Source organism: Homo sapiens, chromosome 1 (genome assembly GCF_000001405.40).
Source record: "Homo sapiens chromosome 1, GRCh38.p14 Primary Assembly".
Taxonomy (NCBI): domain Eukaryota; kingdom Metazoa; phylum Chordata; class Mammalia; order Primates; family Hominidae; genus Homo; species Homo sapiens.
The window spans coordinates 171575631-171593862 of NC_000001.11; the positions used below are offsets into that span (position 1 = coordinate 171575631).

General features: G+C 37.8%; 1 protein-coding gene across 18 annotated transcripts in view; it reads left to right on the forward strand.

The window, feature by feature from the left end:
• The window catches only part of PRRC2C (proline rich coiled-coil 2C), a 107982-nt gene extending 90101 nt beyond the window's left edge, over positions 1 to 17881 (forward strand). For 4 of the 18 annotated variants that reach the window (XM_005245015.3, XM_005245018.4, XM_005245016.6 and 1 more), the window contains exons 26-35: positions 1804 to 2007; positions 3724 to 3836; positions 4198 to 4334; positions 8326 to 8557; positions 8789 to 8911; positions 11373 to 11591; positions 12018 to 12121; positions 12749 to 12875; positions 13739 to 13975; positions 15957 to 17881. In XM_005245015.3, coding sequence (XP_005245072.1) covers positions 1804 to 2007; positions 3724 to 3836; positions 4198 to 4334; positions 8326 to 8557; positions 8789 to 8911; positions 11373 to 11591; positions 12018 to 12121; positions 12749 to 12875; positions 13739 to 13975; positions 15957 to 16217 — 1757 coding nt within the window. In that variant the 3' untranslated portion in view covers positions 16218 to 17881. Of the gene's footprint in view, positions 1 to 1803; positions 2008 to 3723; positions 3837 to 4197; positions 4335 to 8325; positions 8558 to 8788; positions 8912 to 11372; positions 11592 to 12017; positions 12122 to 12748; positions 12876 to 13738; positions 13976 to 15521; positions 15575 to 15956 lie in introns of those variants that run through there. The other 14 variants (NM_001387844.1, XM_006711238.5, XM_005245024.3 and 11 more) reach the window with 12 other exon arrangements.
• Positions 17882 to 18232: the final 351 nt, after the last annotated feature.

Here is an 18232-nt window from a genome sequence, read left to right on the forward strand (position 1 = left end):
GCTTTTCTTGCTCTTTTTCCTTAGATTTTCTTAAATTTTTACTAGTGTGTAATCTTTTCATTGAACTATCTCATTATTTGGAGGCCTTACGGTTCTTAAAGAAACACAGATGTTTCCAAAATGCTTGACTCTAGAAAAGTACACCCTTTTCCTTTTACCATATGTAGAACCAAGTTTCTTCTGTTGAAAAAATAAAATTTAATTTCAAGCTTTCTCAGTATTATCTGCTTCCAAAGCAGTAGGAAGCTCCTTTCCAGTGATATAAATTACTTTGTTTGACTGGTTCTCATTCAATATTGCTTTTTAGTATTCCAGCCCACCGTGCTATTTTTAGGTACCAAAAAGCTGGTCTTAGGTTTATACAAGTTATTTTGATATTGTCTGTAATCAGAAGTATATATTAACACAAACTCCCGAGATTCTACGCTGCATTAACATTTTAAATCAAACTGTGTTCCAACTATATTTCTTTTCACTTTAAAACCCTTCCTAGCATTCCTCCACCACTCATTTGCCAAGGCATCTTCACTTATGTTTACTAGACTAGCTTGAGCCCCAGTCCACTTTGGGATGGGGGGGTTAGTGAAGGTGGTGTAAAGGAAACAGGAGAGTATGGTAGGAAGATCTGGAAATAATGGTTCCTAGTTCTTTCTTTGGAACCCAACTAACCCGTTTCCCCAGGTCTAGATTTCCTCCACTGTGCTTGACTAGGATAATTTTTTTAACAAGGCCCTTATTGCCTAGTCATCCTACTGGTAGATGATTCACTAGAAGGATAGAAGCACTTGAATTTTGGTCCACTCTCAGGTGGAACATCATCTGAAGATAATGACAACTTATACATTACTTTTTAATCAAATACCAGTATTGACATTTTGGGCTAGTACTAAAGTCATAATAGCTCACTAATCAATAAAACAAATTAACCCTAACACCTAAGTTTTATAATTCTATTTACTTATTAAGTAGTTTATTTAATTTGTTTTAAAGGTATTACTATATACCAGGTGGTTTTGTTTTGTTTTTGTTTGTTTCTTGGTTAGTTGTTTTTGGAGTTGTGTGGTTTTTTTTGTTTTTTAAGAGTTGATGTCTTGCTCTGTCGCTCAGGCTGGAGTGCAGCGATGTCATCACTGTTCACTGCAGCCTCAAACTCCTGGGTTCAAGCAATCCTTCCATCTCAGCCTCCCAAGTAGCTGCGACTACAGGCACCACCATGCCCAACTAATTTTTTAATTTTGTGTAGAGACAGGATCTTACAATGTTCCCCAGGCTGGTCTTATACTCCTGGCCTCAACATGTGCCAGTTTTTGCAGGAGAGAGAAATCCAGCCTTAAGTTTATGTGACATTTTAGGACCAGTTGAGATCTTTCAAGGCCCATGTATATTCATAATTATTTCTAAGGTATAGCACTTTTCTCTTTTGTGTCCTTATATCTGTGGTCATAAGTGAATGAAGCTCTTGATTATATATCCTATTCTTTGTGATGATTAAAAAACAAATCATTTCTGGCTAAACTATAACAGTTACATAGGCTCTCAGCCTCATTTTATTAATTTTGTGTTTTGTTTCTTTCTTGTTTTGATTTTCTGTTGTTTATTGTTCCATATTTTCTAGTCATATTTACATTTGGTGATAATTACCTTTTCTTTTATAAGCTACCTCATCTACTTTTGGCCTGAAGCAGTATATAAGTACGTGATGGGTAGAAACATTAATTTTGCAGTTTCTGGTTGGTACTGTGAACAATAGCAACACTTTTAAATATGCTCTATTTTCCCCTTTATTTGCTTCCCCAAATATAGGAGCTGGTACATACACTACCTCTTCTTTGAGCACAAAATCTACAACCACATCGGACCCTCCAAATATTTGTAAAGTGAAACCTCAGCAGTTACAGACAAGCAGCCTGCCTTCTGCAAGTCATTTTTCACAGTTAAGCTGTATGCCTTCCCTTATTGCCCAGCAGCAACAGAATCCGCAAGTTTATGTGTCTCAGTCTGCAGCAGGTAATGTTTTTAGGCTTGAATATAAGGAATTTAGAAAATGAAGACTTACTAAAATGCTTATTTTTGTCTCTTCTTACCCTTTCAGCTAAGCATAAGGCTCTTAAAGTACATTGCTGTAAATATTTAAATTCGCATTTTTTTTTTTTTTTTTTTTTTTTGAGATGGTGTCTGGCTCTGTTGCCCAGGCTGGATTGCAGTGACGCGGTCTTGGCTTACTGCCACCTCCACCTCCCAGGTTCAAGTGATCCTCTCACCTCAGCCTCCCAAGTAGCTGGGGCCACAGGAGCACACCACCACACCCAGCTAATTTTTCTTTTTTTTTTTTTTTTTTGCATTTTTGGTAGAGACGGGTTTTACCGTGTTGCCCAGGCTGGCCTCGAACTCCTGAGCTCAAGTGATCCTCCTGCCTCAGCCTCCCAAAGTGCTGGAATTATAGGCATGAGCCACCTCACCCAGCCTAAATTGGCATAATTCTTTTTAAAAGTGTCTTGGAAAATATAAGTGTACATACTTACTGTAGTAACAGTTTCATAACTAGGAATCTCATATGGATACATTTAAGCTATTAGAGATTAAGTAAGGGTATTCATTGCAGTATTATTTCTAATAATGACAAGTTAAAAACAATATATAGGCTGGGTGTGGTGGCTCATACCTATAATCCCAGCACTTTGAGAGGCCAAGGCAGAAGGATTACTTGACCCTAGGAGTTCAAGACCAACCCGAGCAACATAGTGAGACCCATCTCTACAAAAAATTTTAAACATTAGCTGGATGTGGTGGCACATGCCTCTAGTTCCAGCTACTTGGGAGGCTGAGGTGAGAGAATCATTTGAACCCAGGTGATAATCATGCCACTGCACTCCAGCCTGGCGGAGTGAGGCCCTGTCTCGTCGTAATAATATGTGGAGTTCTGCAGAACATACTACTATATAAAAACAGCGAGTCAGCTAGGCACCGTGGCTCACGCCTGTAATCCCAGCACTTTGGGAGGCTGAGGCGGGCAGATCAGTTGAGGCCAGCAGTTCAAGACCCACCTGGCCAACATGGTGAAACCACGTCTCTACTAAAAATACAAAAATTGGTTGGGCGTGGTGGCGCACACTCAGCTGCTCAGGTAGCTGAGGCACAAGAATCGCTTGAACCCGGGAGGTGGAGGTTGCAGTGAGCTGGGATCAATCGTGCCACTGCACTTCAGCCTGGGTGACAAAGCGAGACTGTTTCAAAACAAAAAACAAAAACAAAAAAAAACAGCAAGTCACCAAATATTATGTATCATACATAGAAATGTGTTTAAAATTTATACCAAACTTTTAAAATTAAATGTCAATCCTCTAAATATTTTGCTAGATTCTAGTAGGTAGGTTTAAAATTGGAGTAGAATTGCTGGTTCAATGGGTAGATTCATTTTCAATTTTAGTAGATTATGTGAAATTTTACCACTGACAAAATCTGCGTATCTATACCCCATTGGCGGTATATAAATTTTTTTTTCATGCCTTCACAAGTACTAGTTATGTTTGTGTGTACCTGTCTACTAGAAGTTTTCCATCTTTTCACATTTGCATCTTGTCACGTTTTTAGTTTTTCCATGGCTGTATTTTCAGAGGGTGCACTTAATTTGGAATCTGCTACAAAACTTGGTTTTTATTTACTGTTTGGAAAATTCTGAAATTAGGACACTTACTACTGCTTGTTTATCCTGATGGTCTACAGCTCAAATCCCAGCCTTCTATATGGACACAAGTCATTTATTCAATACCCAACATGCACGATTGGCTCCGCCATCCTTGGCTCAACAACAGGGTTTCCAACCAGGTCTCTCTCAGGTAATATCAAAGACTTCTTCCATCCTGTATTTGTTCCTTCGCATTTCTGTGGTTATAATAGTTATCTTGGAACATAAATAATAGACTCTGAAATTACAAGCTACCCACGATTAGCTTGATATTCTATAAGCAAAATTTAAAATTTTTCCCAAATTTACCAAAGCTTAATAGTAATAATGTAGAATAAGTAGTGGGTTGAAAGGGAAATTTAGATGTTTACATTCAGTTTTGTTTTAAAATGGAGCTGATATATAGTATTAATTTTACTCTTTTCATGTCTCAAATTTTTATATTCCAGTGTTAATGATTTATCTGTATGATGTTGATATATATGTTTACATACTTTCTCAATGCATTGCAGCCAACTTCAGTTCAGCAGATTCCAATCCCTATTTATGCACCACTGCAAGGGCAGCATCAAGCCCAACTGAGTTTGGGGGCTGGCCCTGCTGTTTCCCAGGCTCAGGAATTGTTCAGCTCCTCACTTCAACCATATAGGTAAATGCTTTAAAAGTTATGTTTGTAATGATGTTGAAAACATTGTAACTGCTGATCCTCCTTGCCGTAATCCATACTGTTCCTTCCCAAAAAAACCTAGGATGACTCTGCTATAAACTACATTGGCTAATTGAGCATGTTGATTATATGTCATGAACCTCAGCCTCTGGTAATTTCAACCATATCTTATTAAAGAATGTCAGGTTTCAAACCCTCTTGAAGTAGTGAACAACAGCAACCCCAAAACTGTTAGAAATTATAGAAAGTAGCTGCTAAAGAACCTAAAAGTATGTGTGCCATCTGGCTACCAAAAACTATAAATCTGAATCTCCTCTATGTACGAGCTGAGGCATGGCAGTTAACTACATCATGTTAGGGGGTGCAGGGCAGGGTGGAATATAACAGAACAGAGAGGGGTAAATATCAAAGCATGGAAGTAATGATGATAAATATGCTGTGTAGTGAAGAAAGCATTTTTTCCAAAAATTCACTCAGATGCACTGTAAGTTACCTTTGCAACTAGGGAAATAATGAAAACTGATTTTTATTGAACTTTCCTTATATATGATAGATATTCAGCCTTTCACATACATTAACTAAATTTAGTCTTCACACAACCACCTAAGATAAGTCACCCTCATTTAACATGTGGATGTTAGGACTTGAAGAGGGTGAGGCTTTTTTTGTTTTGTTTTGTTTTAACCTGAGGTTATACATAAAGTGGCAGACCCTCAGTGTCTCTGGTTTCCAGTTTAATGAGGGAAGAAGAGTGAGTAAGAGTCAGATAGTAGGAGCAGTGCATCATGGCATAGCTGTCATCCATACTCATGATGGTGGCCTTAAATCATCATAAAGAAAAATAAGTTACATTCAGGACACTTAGTTTAGGAAGGCTGTGCATTTGTTTTTAGGAATTTGTTTTCAGAAGTGGGTTCAGATAGAATTTCTATACTTTATAGATTAAACCTGTCATCAGTTAATACAGTATGTTTTATATTACCATAATGATACTCCTAGAGAAGCCAGGTTCAGCTAATGAAACTTTCTTAACAGAGAGCCTAGTCATTAGTAAACCTCATAAATGTGGCTTTTATTTTTACCTTTTGATTAAAGATGCTTTAGTAAAATTTAAGACACCTGTATCATTACTTATATAGCTGTTGTAGGTCTTCCCTCCTCATTTTACTCTCATTTAATTTCGTTATTTTCTCCCGTTAGAAGCCCCAACTAGAAGCTAAAGGAAGTCTTGTATTGAATTTGGGATTATCTTGGAATTTATATTAAAAATAAAACTTGAAAATTTCTGACACAGGAATAGCAGCTAGATTTAATCTCACAAGCCAGTCTCCTTTTAAATTGTATTGGCTGCTTGAAACACTGTTGAAAAGTTTGCAACCGCTTTTCAGTACTGTGAAAAAGAGTACAGTGATTAATTAGTAATGTTTTCCACAGGCCGTGGGAGGTGGAGTAGCAATGTACTATATTTGTAATCCCCATTTCACTAATTGTCTTGGAAGATATACTTTTTAAGACCAGACGTGGTCAATAGAAATAAAATGTAAGACACATATATAATTGTGGCACTTGGCTACCACATTGGAAAGTACAGGTTTAGATTTTGAAAGCAGTTATTTTATCCCTAAACATTCCTTGCTTGTTCCTTAACCTAATCAGCATAGTGTTTATTAGGGAATCTCTGAACTGGTTTCTGCAAAGACAGGATAGTTTATAGCAGTATATTCATGTTTTCTTACCTCGTGTTTGAAACATAAATTATAAGTAGGTATTGTAAAGACTGCTATGATCCTAGACTAGCATTCTTCCTTAGTGGCTTTTGTTCCTGCCACATAGGTCAGTTTTAACAAAGCAACAAAGCATAATGTTCTTTAACCCACTACTTTTGATTTAGGTGCTTATTCTTTATCTCTGCATCTTAAAAGTGTAGACTGGAGGCATCCATCTCAGATGATAGGGAAGTCTGGGGTTAGATTCTGGCATATTGTGGTTTTGTTTTGAGGGGGTGTGTTTTGGCTTGGTTTGGTTTTGGTTTATGTTCTTGTTTGTTTGTTTGCTTGCTTAATCTTCATGGGTAACTCTGACATGAGCTACTACTGTGCTTTATTCCATGGAGATCTTGAGGCTAGGCCATTTATATTAAAAATATATGTGGGGAAGTAATGAAATACAAATAAGAAAAGTTGGGGCTATTGGGGCTATGAATTAGAATGTTGCCAAAGAGAAAAAGAGATTTTGTTCTGAACTTTGTAGTGAACACAAAAAGAGAATTATTCTCACTGTTCAAAAGGAAAGAGCAATCCACTTCTTAGGGAGAACAGGCCTTTTCACAGAACTTTTACATGTGAAGCTTCCTTGTATACAGGGCTTTAAATCTTGAAATAAGTTGCTTTAGACACAGTCTGTATTCTCTGCCTCTTTTCTTGATTTCTGAGCTAATTAGAGTGCATCCAAGTATCAGTGATGGGGAGACATTCTGAAGTATGCATCCTTTTTCAAACATCATAGAGTGTACCTACAGGAACCTAGGTGGCATAGCCTGCAGCTATACACCTAGGCTGTAGAGTACAGCCTATTGTGTCTAATTAGGCTATAAACCCGTGCAGCATTTTACTGTACTTAATACTGTAGGCAGTTGTAACACAGTGGTAAATATTTGTGTCTAAACATAGAAATCTAAACAATCTAAACAGAAAAGGTACAATAAAAATATAGCATACAAGATTAAAAATGGTACGTACCATGTATAGAGCACTTACCATGAATGGAGCTTGCAGGACTGGCAGTTGCTGTAGGTGAGTCAGTGAGTGAGTGGCGAGTGATATTACTGTACACTACTGTGGACTCTATACTACACTGTGGGTACACTAAATTTGTTAAAAAAAAAAAAACAAATTTTTCTTCAATAATAAATTAACCTCAACTTACTATAATTTTTTGACTCTTATAATAACATTTAGCTTACAACACAAACACATTGTACATCTGCACAGAAGTATTTCTTTTTTTGTTTGTTTTTTTGAGACAAGGTCTGTGTCACCCAGGCTGGAGTGCAGTGGCACATACAGCTCACTACCTCGAACTCCTGAGCTCAAGCCATTGTCCAGCCTCAGCTTCCCAAGTAGCTAGGACTACAGGCACTTGCTACCATGCCCACCTAATTTTTTATTTTTTTGTAGAGATGATGTCTTGTTCTCTTGCCCAGGCTGGTCTCAAATTCCTGGCCTCAAGCAGCCCTTTCACCTCAGCCTCCCAAAGTGCTGGGATTATGAGCATGAACACCATGTCTGGCCTTTTCTTTTGTAACGTTTTTCTGTTTTTTAATTTTTTAATTTTTTTTTAACTTTTTAAACTTTTTTGTTAAAAACTAAGATGCAAACACACACATTAGGCTAGGCTACGCAGGGCTAGGATCATCAATATACTTTCATCTACCTCCACATCCTGTCCCACTGGGAGGTCTTCAGGGGCAGTAACACATACAGAGCTGTCATGTCCTATGATAACAATGCCTTCTTCTGGAATACCCGCTAAAGGATCTACCTGAAGCTGTTTTATAAGTTTTAAGTAAAAAGAGTACACTCTAAAATAACCAGAAAATGTATAGTAAATACATAAACTAGTAACATAATTCTTTTTATCAGTATCAGATATTATGTACTGTATGTAACTGTATGTACTGAACTGTTAGGACTGTAGGTGTAGTAGGTTTGTTTATATTTAATACTAGCACCAGCAAAAACACTTGAGTCATATGTTCTATGATATTAGAACAGCTATGATGTCACTAGGTGATAGGAATTTTTCAGCTTCCTTATGATCTTATGGGACCATCAATATATATGTGGTCTGTTGTTGACTAAAATGTCATGCAGCACATGACTGTATTGGGTCATTTGGGATTTGCATTCTTAAGATTTTCAGATTCCAGATGAAATTAACTTCTAACAATATTTTCTCTTTAATCCTTATGTAGATCTCAGCCAGCTTTTATGCAAAGCAGTTTATCCCAGCCATCTGTGGTCCTTTCTGGTACTGCTATTCACAACTTTCCAACTGTCCAACACCAAGAACTTGCCAAGGCACAATCCGGTCTTGCCTTTCAGCAAACATCAAATACTCAGCCCATTCCTATATTGTATGAACATCAACTGGGGCAGGCATCAGGACTAGGAGGTTCCCAGCTGATTGACACACATCTTCTCCAGGTAAGTCAGGGGACTAGAGCAATGCACCCTCATTGTATTCCTATGCCACAGATCATTTTAAGGAAACATTTTTAAAAGAAAACATGTTAGAAGATGCAATGAAAAAAACAAAGTCCTTTCATTTATCTAATACTAAAAATTGCTAGACATTGCTTTGAAGTCATAATCTCCACCTCTGAATTTGAAATTTTTTTCAGTCTTACTCATGTTTTCTTAAAAAATTTTTTCTAGGCCAGAGCAAATCTTACCCAGGCCTCAAATCTTTATTCTGGACAAGTACAACAGCCTGGTCAGACAAATTTTTATAACACTGCCCAGTCACCAAGTGCTCTCCAGCAGGTAAACTATGGCATGGTAAATTTCCTCAATTTTCTTTATTATTATTTTTATTGCTTTTGTTATTGTTTGGGAATTTAAATTGAACCAAGATGCAAGATGGAGGATGGTTTTTAAACTGTTCACTGAGATGTCCTGAAGAATTCCACTGGGTCCACGTAGAAGGGGTTTCAGGCTCATGACACCCCCCTTCTCACCACCATCACCCCCTACTTCAGTCATTCCTGTTTTTTTATATCTTCCAGGTTTTTTGTTGGTTTAGGGGGTTTTGTTTTGTTTTTTTCTGTCACCTAGGCCAGAGTGCAGTGGTGTGATCATGGCTCATTGCAGCCCAACCTCCCAGGCTCAAGTGATCCTTGCACCGCAGCCTCCTGTGTAGCTGGGACTACAGGCTCACGCCATTATGCCTGGCTAATTTTTCTTCGTAGTTTTTGTAGAGACAGGGTTTTGCCATGTTGCCCCAGGCTGATCTTGAACTACTGGTTTCAAGCGATCTGCCTGCCTCGGCCTTCCAAAGTGTTGGGATTACAGGCTTGAGCCACCACACCTGGCTGCTTTTTGTTTTTTGTTTTTTTTTAATTAAGGGGGAAAAAACAACTTAGGTTTCCGTGTAATTATTTATTCTATTTTAACAAAGGATTCAATGAATATAAAACCTTGAAAACCATTGTCCAGAATATAGTTACATTAAGTGTGATACAGGTGGTTTACCCATTAGTGCTAGGGAGAAGCCTCCCAAAGACCATCTGGCAGGTTAGCTATACATACAACAGTGTGGCAGACTGTGATCGAGCATAAATGACAAACACTTTCTTAAGTGTATGAATGCAATAATAATTTTCAGTGAAAAGTATATGGTACGTTTAAAACTATCTCTAATAATTTCATTAGCTTATTCTTTAAAAGTGGTGGAGGGCTGGTGGGGGAACAAAGTCATTAGTCATTTTCTTATAACTGTTGTTGTTTGCTATTTTAGGGAGTGATAATTCATGAATATCTTATTGACATTCAGATTAAATATAGTGTTTATGTGAAAACTGAGAGATTCTTGTTCTTCTCATAGCTCATTTTGACCAGCCTTGAAAGTATTATGTAAAATGTCTGTTTGGAAACTTGTGAATACTGCTTATATTGTGTCCTCATTTACTTTGTGATTATTTGACATGTCCTGTGGATAAATTCAAAGATAGTCCTAATTCTTTCAGTTTCTATTCTCTTCACTACAAGTAGCATTAACTAAACTATGTTGTACCTTTAATAGAAGAATGGAGATACGGTTGAGGGTTGAGTGTCTCTTACCGAAATGCTTGGGACCAGAAATGTCTCGGATTTCAGATTGGTTTTTTTTTGTGTGTTTGCGTATACATAATGAGGTGTCTTGGGGCGAGGGGCCTGTCTAAACATGAAATTCCTTTGTTTCATACATACTTTATACATATAACCTGAAGGTAATTTTAAGCAACATTTTAAATAACTTTGTGCATGAAACAGAAGTTCTGACCTCACTTCGACTGATCCGTCGCAGGAGGTCAGGTGTTGATTTTTTTTTTTTTTTTTTTTTGAGACGGAGTCTCCCTCACCCAGGCTGGAGTGCAGTGGCATGATCTTGGCTCACTGCAACCTCCACCTCCCAGGTTCAAGTGATTCTCGTGCCTCAGCCTCCCAAGTAGCTGAGATTACAGGCACCCACCACCATGCCTGGCTAATTTTTGTATTTTATTTTATTTATTTATTTATTTTTTTTTTTAGTAGAGACGGAGTTTCCCCATGTTGGCCAGGCTGGTCTCAAACCCCTGACCTCAAGTGATCTGCCTACCTTGGCCTCCCAAAGTGCTGGGATTATAGGCGTGAGCCACCGTGCCTGGACTTGGTGTCAAATTCTCTACTTGTGGTGTCATATCAGCCTCTCAGAAAGTTTTGGAGCATTTTGGATTTTGATTTTCAGATTAGAGATACTCAACTTGTCATCACTAAGCAAAAGAAATATGTGAAATATATTAGTAGATGGATGTGTTCTATGTATTTTATTTTATTTTATTTTATTTTATTTTATTTTATTTTATTTTATTTTATTTTGAGACAGAGTCTCGCTCTGTCGCCAGGCTGGAGTGCAGTGGCAGGATCTCGGCTCACTGCAACCTCCCCCTCCTGGGTCCAAGTGATTCTCATGCCTCAGCCTCCCAAGTAGCTGAGACTACAGGCACATGCCACCACATGCAGCTAATTTTCGTATTTTTTTTTTTTAGTAGAGACAGGGTTTCACCATGTTGGCCAGGATGGTCTCGATCTCTTGACCTCGTGATCTGCCCGCCTTGGCCTTCCAAAGTGCTGGGATTACAGGCATGAGCCACTGCACCTGGCCGATGTGTTCTGTTTGAAATCTTACTCAAAAGTATTTGAAGAGTTGTGTATAGTTGTATGGATATGTCTGTAGTAAACAGAAACAAATTGCTTCAGTTTCTCTTTACTTATTTTCTAGGTTACAGTACCTTTACCAGCATCGCAGCTTTCCTTGCCTAATTTTGGATCTACAGGGCAACCTCTAATTGCTTTGCCTCAGACTCTTCAGCCCCCATTACAGCATACCACTCCCCAAGCACAGGCTCAGAGTCTGAGTCGTCCTGCACAAGTAAGCCAGCCTTTCAGAGGATTAATTCCTGCTGGAACACAGCATAGCATGATTGCAACCACAGGAAAAGTAAGTAAAGAGACATTTGCACAGGTTATTTGAGAATTTAAGGTAGTGTGTTCAGATATATGCATCTGTGTTATCTAAAAAACTAAAATGCGTCAGTTTTTACCACCCTGCAAAAATCTCAAACCCCAGTATATTTACATTTTATCTATTTACTTTTAATGTGTTTGGCCCCATCTAGTTTTTACCTAATAACAAAGAATTCACAAATTTATTGGAAGAATTGGATTTATAGTGTCTCTTGGGCTTATTTAATTATAAGTCTGTTTGGTCAGGTAATTCCATAATACTTGAAGCCTAACTATAGGAGTTTTGTACTAAGGTTCTTTGCCCTTTCCTAGATTACGTCTTCACGTATAGGACATGTAAACACAGCACTTAGCTTGTGGAATTAAAGAAATGTTAAGTTTATTTTATGCTTCTCCTCAGATGTCTGAAATGGAACTAAAAGCCTTTGGAAGTGGCATTGATATAAAACCAGGCACACCTCCAATCGCTGGTAGAAGCACCACACCAACATCTAGTCCCTTCCGGTAAAATGGGCATTTAAATTTGCTTATGAAATTCCAATTTGGTCACTATTTGTTAAATACTTATCAGTCCTGTGTGACATAATCCCTTTTCCAAGCAGAAAAGGAATTATTAAGACATTCTTTTTGATAGTTTTGTCTAAAATGTTAAGCTTTTAAATTATTTAAAATGTGTTTATTGTACTATATTTTAAGTAAATTCTTTTGTTACAGAGCAAACCTTTTTTTCTTTTATTTTTTTTGAGACAGAGTCTCACACTGTTACCCAGACTAGAGTGCAGTGCCATGATTATAGCTCACTGCAACCTCAAACACCTGGGCTCAAGCAAGCCTCCTGCCTCAGCCTCCTGAGTAGCTGGGACTACATACACGTGCCACCACACCTGGCTAATTTTTAAAAAAATATTGTCCAAGCTGGTCTCGAACCAGCCAATCTAACTGGTAACTGGTATCCTTTCTTACCTCTGCTCCTCCAATGTCTCTCTTCTACCAGAATGTTTTGGTAATCATCATAGTAAATTTTTACCAACTACCAAGTATGATGAAAATACCAAGAACGGTGTTTGCAAAAATCTAACAGCATTATTTACTTGGTATTACTATACTGACTAGTAATGGCTTCTTTCCAAGGGCTACTTCTACAAGTCCGAACAGCCAGTCCAGCAAAATGAACAGCATTGTCTACCAGAAGCAGTTCCAGTCAGCCCCTGCCACTGTGAGAATGACACAACCATTTCCTACACAGTTTGCACCCCAGGTGGGCAGACATAATTAAGAAATGAGTATTATTTACTTAAAAATAGTTGCTAATCTGATAAATTATTATCTTGCCTTATGTTAACCAGTTAAGAAGTACAGTTTTTAATAAAAAATTGTTTCTGAATTTAACAATAAATTTATTTTATAAAGATAGTCTGCGATTTATAGCCAGACATGGTAATTGTTTAGTTCTAAAGCAGACAAGAGAAATAGTTAAAAGATTCCCCACACAGCTCTGATAATGAGTCCTTTTCCTTTTAACTTTTTTTAAGGAGTTGACTTTTCAGCGAAGGGTCCCAGTGCTTGAAGTTTTCTAGGTTTAAAGTTGTTTTTTGTTGTTGTTAAGATATTTATGTGCAATTGAGATAAAATTTCCAAAAAGATGTTTTAATATATGTAAAAAATGTTGGCTTCTCTTCCCCTTGCTGATCGTATAAAAGGACTAAGAACTCTCACAAACTAGAACTGGTTCCTGAGAAATTCACATTTGTTGAATTAGTATTGATTTTATTTATCTTCAGATTACATTTGTTACAGGTGTGTGCCTTTTCTGCAACTACCTTTTGAAAAGATAGCCTAATTAAAAGTCTTTCTATCCCCCCTTCAGAATTTACAACTGAGATGCTAGGACCAACTGAAGTGCCATAGCATGCTTTGCCTAGTTTTTCTGTTAAACTCTCCAAGCATGGCCTGTTTATTCCTTGTCCTTGTTAATGGAATGGCACAATCTGTACACTTCCTTTCACTGGTAGGATGGGCACAGATTTACTCTGGGATGAGCCAACCTGGTCTAGTTGGCAGTTTTTTTTTTTTTTTTTTTTTTAACAGTTCAATGTTGTATGTTTTGTTTTTTTCACTCAGATTCTCTCCCAGCCTAACCTGGTCCCTCCATTGGTAAGAGCCCCACATACTAACACCTTCCCAGCGCCTGTTCAGAGGCCACCAATGGCACTGGCCAGTCAGATGCCTCCTCCGCTGACCACAGGCCTCATGAGCCATGCTCGTTTGCCACATGTAGCCAGGGGTCCTTGTGGATCACTATCTGGAGTCAGAGGTAATCAGGCCCAGGCTGCGTTGAAGGCTGAACAAGACATGAAGGTTAGTACAGTGTTAACAGCCAACAGATCAAGAATCTGTCTCTGAACCATGTCTTAAAATGCCTCTGGACCCATAACTGTATATCCAGGCATTCATTGTCTTAGCAGACTTAACCAAGCTAACTACTTTTATTCATTCCCCCTTTTTTTTCTTTTTTTTCCCCCATTCCCATTCCTTTCATCTTTTTTTTCTTTTTGTTTCTTTTTCTTTTTCTTTTTTTTTGCAACTGTAGTCAGGAAATGAATTAATGTCTTAAACTGTGGCCAAATGAATTGTTATCAAATAAATATTTGAGGGAGATCTGAGTTTAGATGCACACTTTTTTTTGGAATAGCAAAGAAGTAATATCAATTATTATAGACTTCCCCATTTTCTTTCTTTTTTTTTTTTTTTTTAATATATATTTTCTTCCCCCCTTTCCCCTGACTCTCCTCCTCCCAGCAGCTTAAAATGTAAATCATGGTTATATGAAAACTCTGGAATGGGTAAGATGTGTTACTATCTTAGTACTTTTTTCCATTATGAGTCATCAAAGTACAGTTTTCTTCTCAAACTGTTTTCATACCCTTATTGGCCTACCACATGAGGTGGTTGTATTCCACAGTGGATTGTGCAGTTATAGATGAAGAACTCAGAAAAGCACTTTGGGATCCTTCATGATGAAAGGCACTGATAAACATGAGGTTTGCTAATGCAGAAAGAGTGCCTTTAGGAGTCTGTGTGGGGACAGTTTTGTAGCATAAACCTTACATGTCTGCCAGTACAGCCAGTTGAATCCGTTTATTTCTATATTTACTTTAGGCTTGACTTTCAGGGATCTTAGTAATTTTTGCCTGTTTTGTCACTACATATGTCATCAGATCAGACTAGAACAAAGAAAAGCTTACTGCTTTCAAACAGGGAAATGTGCATAGTAATGCTTTACTCTGAATTAGAAACATGTTTATGATAATCCTATTAGAAAATTTGATTGATTGATTAAAGTGTCTTTTTGGGTCGACATCCCTAGTGTTTCTGATCCTGAGTAATCAAATTTAAAGACTACCCAGCAGCAAAACTTTTATTAAATAATTATCTACTTTTATTAAGGCTGTATGCCTAGGATTTCCATCTGTTTGTTATAATTAGAAATACCAGTGTGAGTAAAAATCTTAGGAAGTTATTTGGCCTTGGATTCCAGTTCTACTCCTGGCTCCTTGGCTCTTGATTTTCGCATATTCCCATGTTGGAAATAACATTAGAGCTTAATAGTAGTAATGGGGTGGGAGAGGGTACAAACTTCTTGAAAATTGCTTCAGATCTTTGGATAGTACAGGTTACCTATAGAACATAAAGCATTTTTTTAATATGCAAGAAGGATGGAAACTTAAGTTTTAATTGTGAATGTTACAGTGGTAAAATTTACAGATTTGACGTAAGTATATTTTTGGGGGCACATAGTCAAAACTAAGAAATTATTTACCAGCTCAGAATGTGGTAGGAGCTATCAGAACTTAGTGATCAAGTGAAGTCGTAGTTACTAATTTCTGATGCTCTTCCCCTGCAGAAGAGAGCTGTGGGAAGAGGACTCAGCCACAAGACATTTGGTCCTAGGTGTTGGTAATGCCACAATATAAGTGCTTCCTTTTCATTTTATTGTAGACCACATATTGATAACTAGAAGTTTTAAGTGTTACATGTATGTTTTTAGATTTGCAAGCAGGTTCCCTAAATAAAATTTAATATGAGAGGGCAGACCTTGAAAAGGTGGTGGGAGGTGGTCCTGTGGTTTTTTTTTTTTTTTTAAATCACATGAAATATTTCAAAAATAGGAAGAAATCTATTCATTAAAAGCTCAAAGATCAATGAGGTACTTTTGGCTTTGGCCAAACCAGTGTGGGGAAAACTGATTTGTGATTGGTAAAAGAATTTGAACCAAGATTGATTTGACAGGCTTTGGTAATGCTGCAGTATTTTCAGTTGTTCTTTCTCATTTTTTAAGGCAAAGCAGAGAGCAGAGGTTCTTCAGTCCACGCAACGGTTCTTCTCTGAACAGCAACAGAGCAAACAGATAGGAGGAGGCAAAGCCCAGAAAGTGGACAGTGATTCAAGTAAACCTCCTGAAACACTGACCGACCCTCCTGGGGTCTGTCAGGAAAAAGTAGAAGAAAAGCCACCCCCTGCACCCTCCATAGCCACCAAACCTGTTAGAACTGGACCAATCAAACCTCAGGCGATCAAAACCGAAGAAACAAAATCTTAAAGGCTATGGTTTATTGCAGGGGATTGGGAGGGGGGCGGGAAAACATGGAGAATTAAGTCAGATAATGCTGGCAGCCAAAGGGGCAAAATGGCCTGTGACATTATCCTGTTCAGAGCTTGGAGATGTACAAGGGACATAGGAGCAATTTACACTGACACACAGCTGCTGTACCAGTGAAAACGAGGCTTTGCAAGCTTGTACCTACTATATAACATGTGCTTGGTTGATGGCCATGCATCTTCAGTCAGAATTTATATATAAATGTATGCACCCATTTTTTTGAGTGCATATAATTTAGACCTAAAAATCCTTATGATTAGATGAAACACCAAAAATATAAGGAAAATAACACAGCAGAGGAATAGCTCAGCCTGAACAGTGTGATGGTCCCAGCTACTACATCAGATGCGGTTTTTTTGCTCCCTTATGTTCTTCGGATATGGTTATGGCATTTGTAGGCTTGGAGGTAAAGAACTGAAGATAACTGGTGCTGGATAGAGGAGCCTTATTTTTTATTATGGCAGCTTGCTATTTTTATAACATGGTGATTGAGTTGAACACAATCAAAGTACAGTAGTAACTGATGTCCCCTTCTTCCTGGATGAATGAGCAGATAAATATTGATGTCAGCATCCTTGAACCATATCAAAGTGAGCAGTGTTTGGCTACTGCTTCTATTTGAAATGGTGCTGTGTTTTGGTTGTGGTCTGAAGCTTTGAAGCGCTACTTAGCATCTCCTTTCTTCCATGGAGCTCTCACGATTCAAACATGACAGATTTGGTAAAATGCTGGTTAGGTTGAGTCTTCCTTGCCCCCACTCAGTCATCTTTGTATGAATCCCATGATTTGGGGGTTTTTTTCTTTTTTTTTTTATACCAGTTTTTAGCTGGTGTTTATGAAGAACAGTGAGTACCTAGAACTGTGCCACTAATTAAAGGAAATCCTAAGAAGGTGCATTTCTTTACAGAGCTGTGTCATGCCATCCTTTGGGCCCTCTGCTGGAAAAGTAGAATCAAGTCTCAAATAATGCCTTTTTAATTGTATCCTCTAGTATTATAGATATAGGACAGTACTGTATCATACCTCTGTGAATGTAAAATATCTTGTACCTGCTTTATGATACGTAGTAGTGACCGTGCTTTATCAGAGCTGTTTTTAATGATGTTATTCTAGAATGTTTTCTTTCCAGATGATGATTCAGAAGCTAATTTTAAAAAACGGTGCCAGGTACCACAACAGTAACAGAACTTTGCAATTTTCTGGGGTTTTGTTTTTTACCTTTTTCCCCCCTTTTTTTTAAATGGAGTGTGCTGGATGTCTCTATAATTTTATTCAGATGACTGCAGAACCTGGAAAAGCTGTTGCTGCTATTGATGCATAACATACTGCTATTGGTCTTTTTATATAAATATATATATATATATACATATATATATATAATTTGAATTTTTGGAAACTTTAGCTGTGCTGTCAACTTTGGAAAAAGTATCCCGGTTTACTGTGTTGAGTTGGCATTGTACAGAAATTAACAGCCATATTGGTCTAGAAACGTTAAACTTAATTTTTTTCCATTTGTACAGGGGTAACGCACTGTATTAAATATGTAAGGTCTTATCTACATGGGTTTGATTACAGAAACTAATAAAGTATTCTCTAAATAATGATTCTTGGAGCTTATAATCATTTCCTAAAATCTGAAGCAAGAGGGTTTGTCATGTATTAAAAATAGTGGTCAAGAGTACTGGCCAGTCGCAGTGGCTCATGCCTGTAATCCTAGCACTTTGGGAGGCCGAGGCGGGTGAATTGCCTGAGCTCAGGAGTACGAGACCAGCCTGGGCAACATGGTGAAACCCCATCTCTACTAAAAATACAAAAAAAAAGTACATTATACAGCCGGGAGCAATGGCTCATGCCTGTAATCCTAACACTTTGGGAGGCCAAGGGAGGTGGATCACCTGAGGTCAGGAGTTTGAGACCAGCCTGGCCAGCATGGCAAAACCCTGTCTCTACTAAAA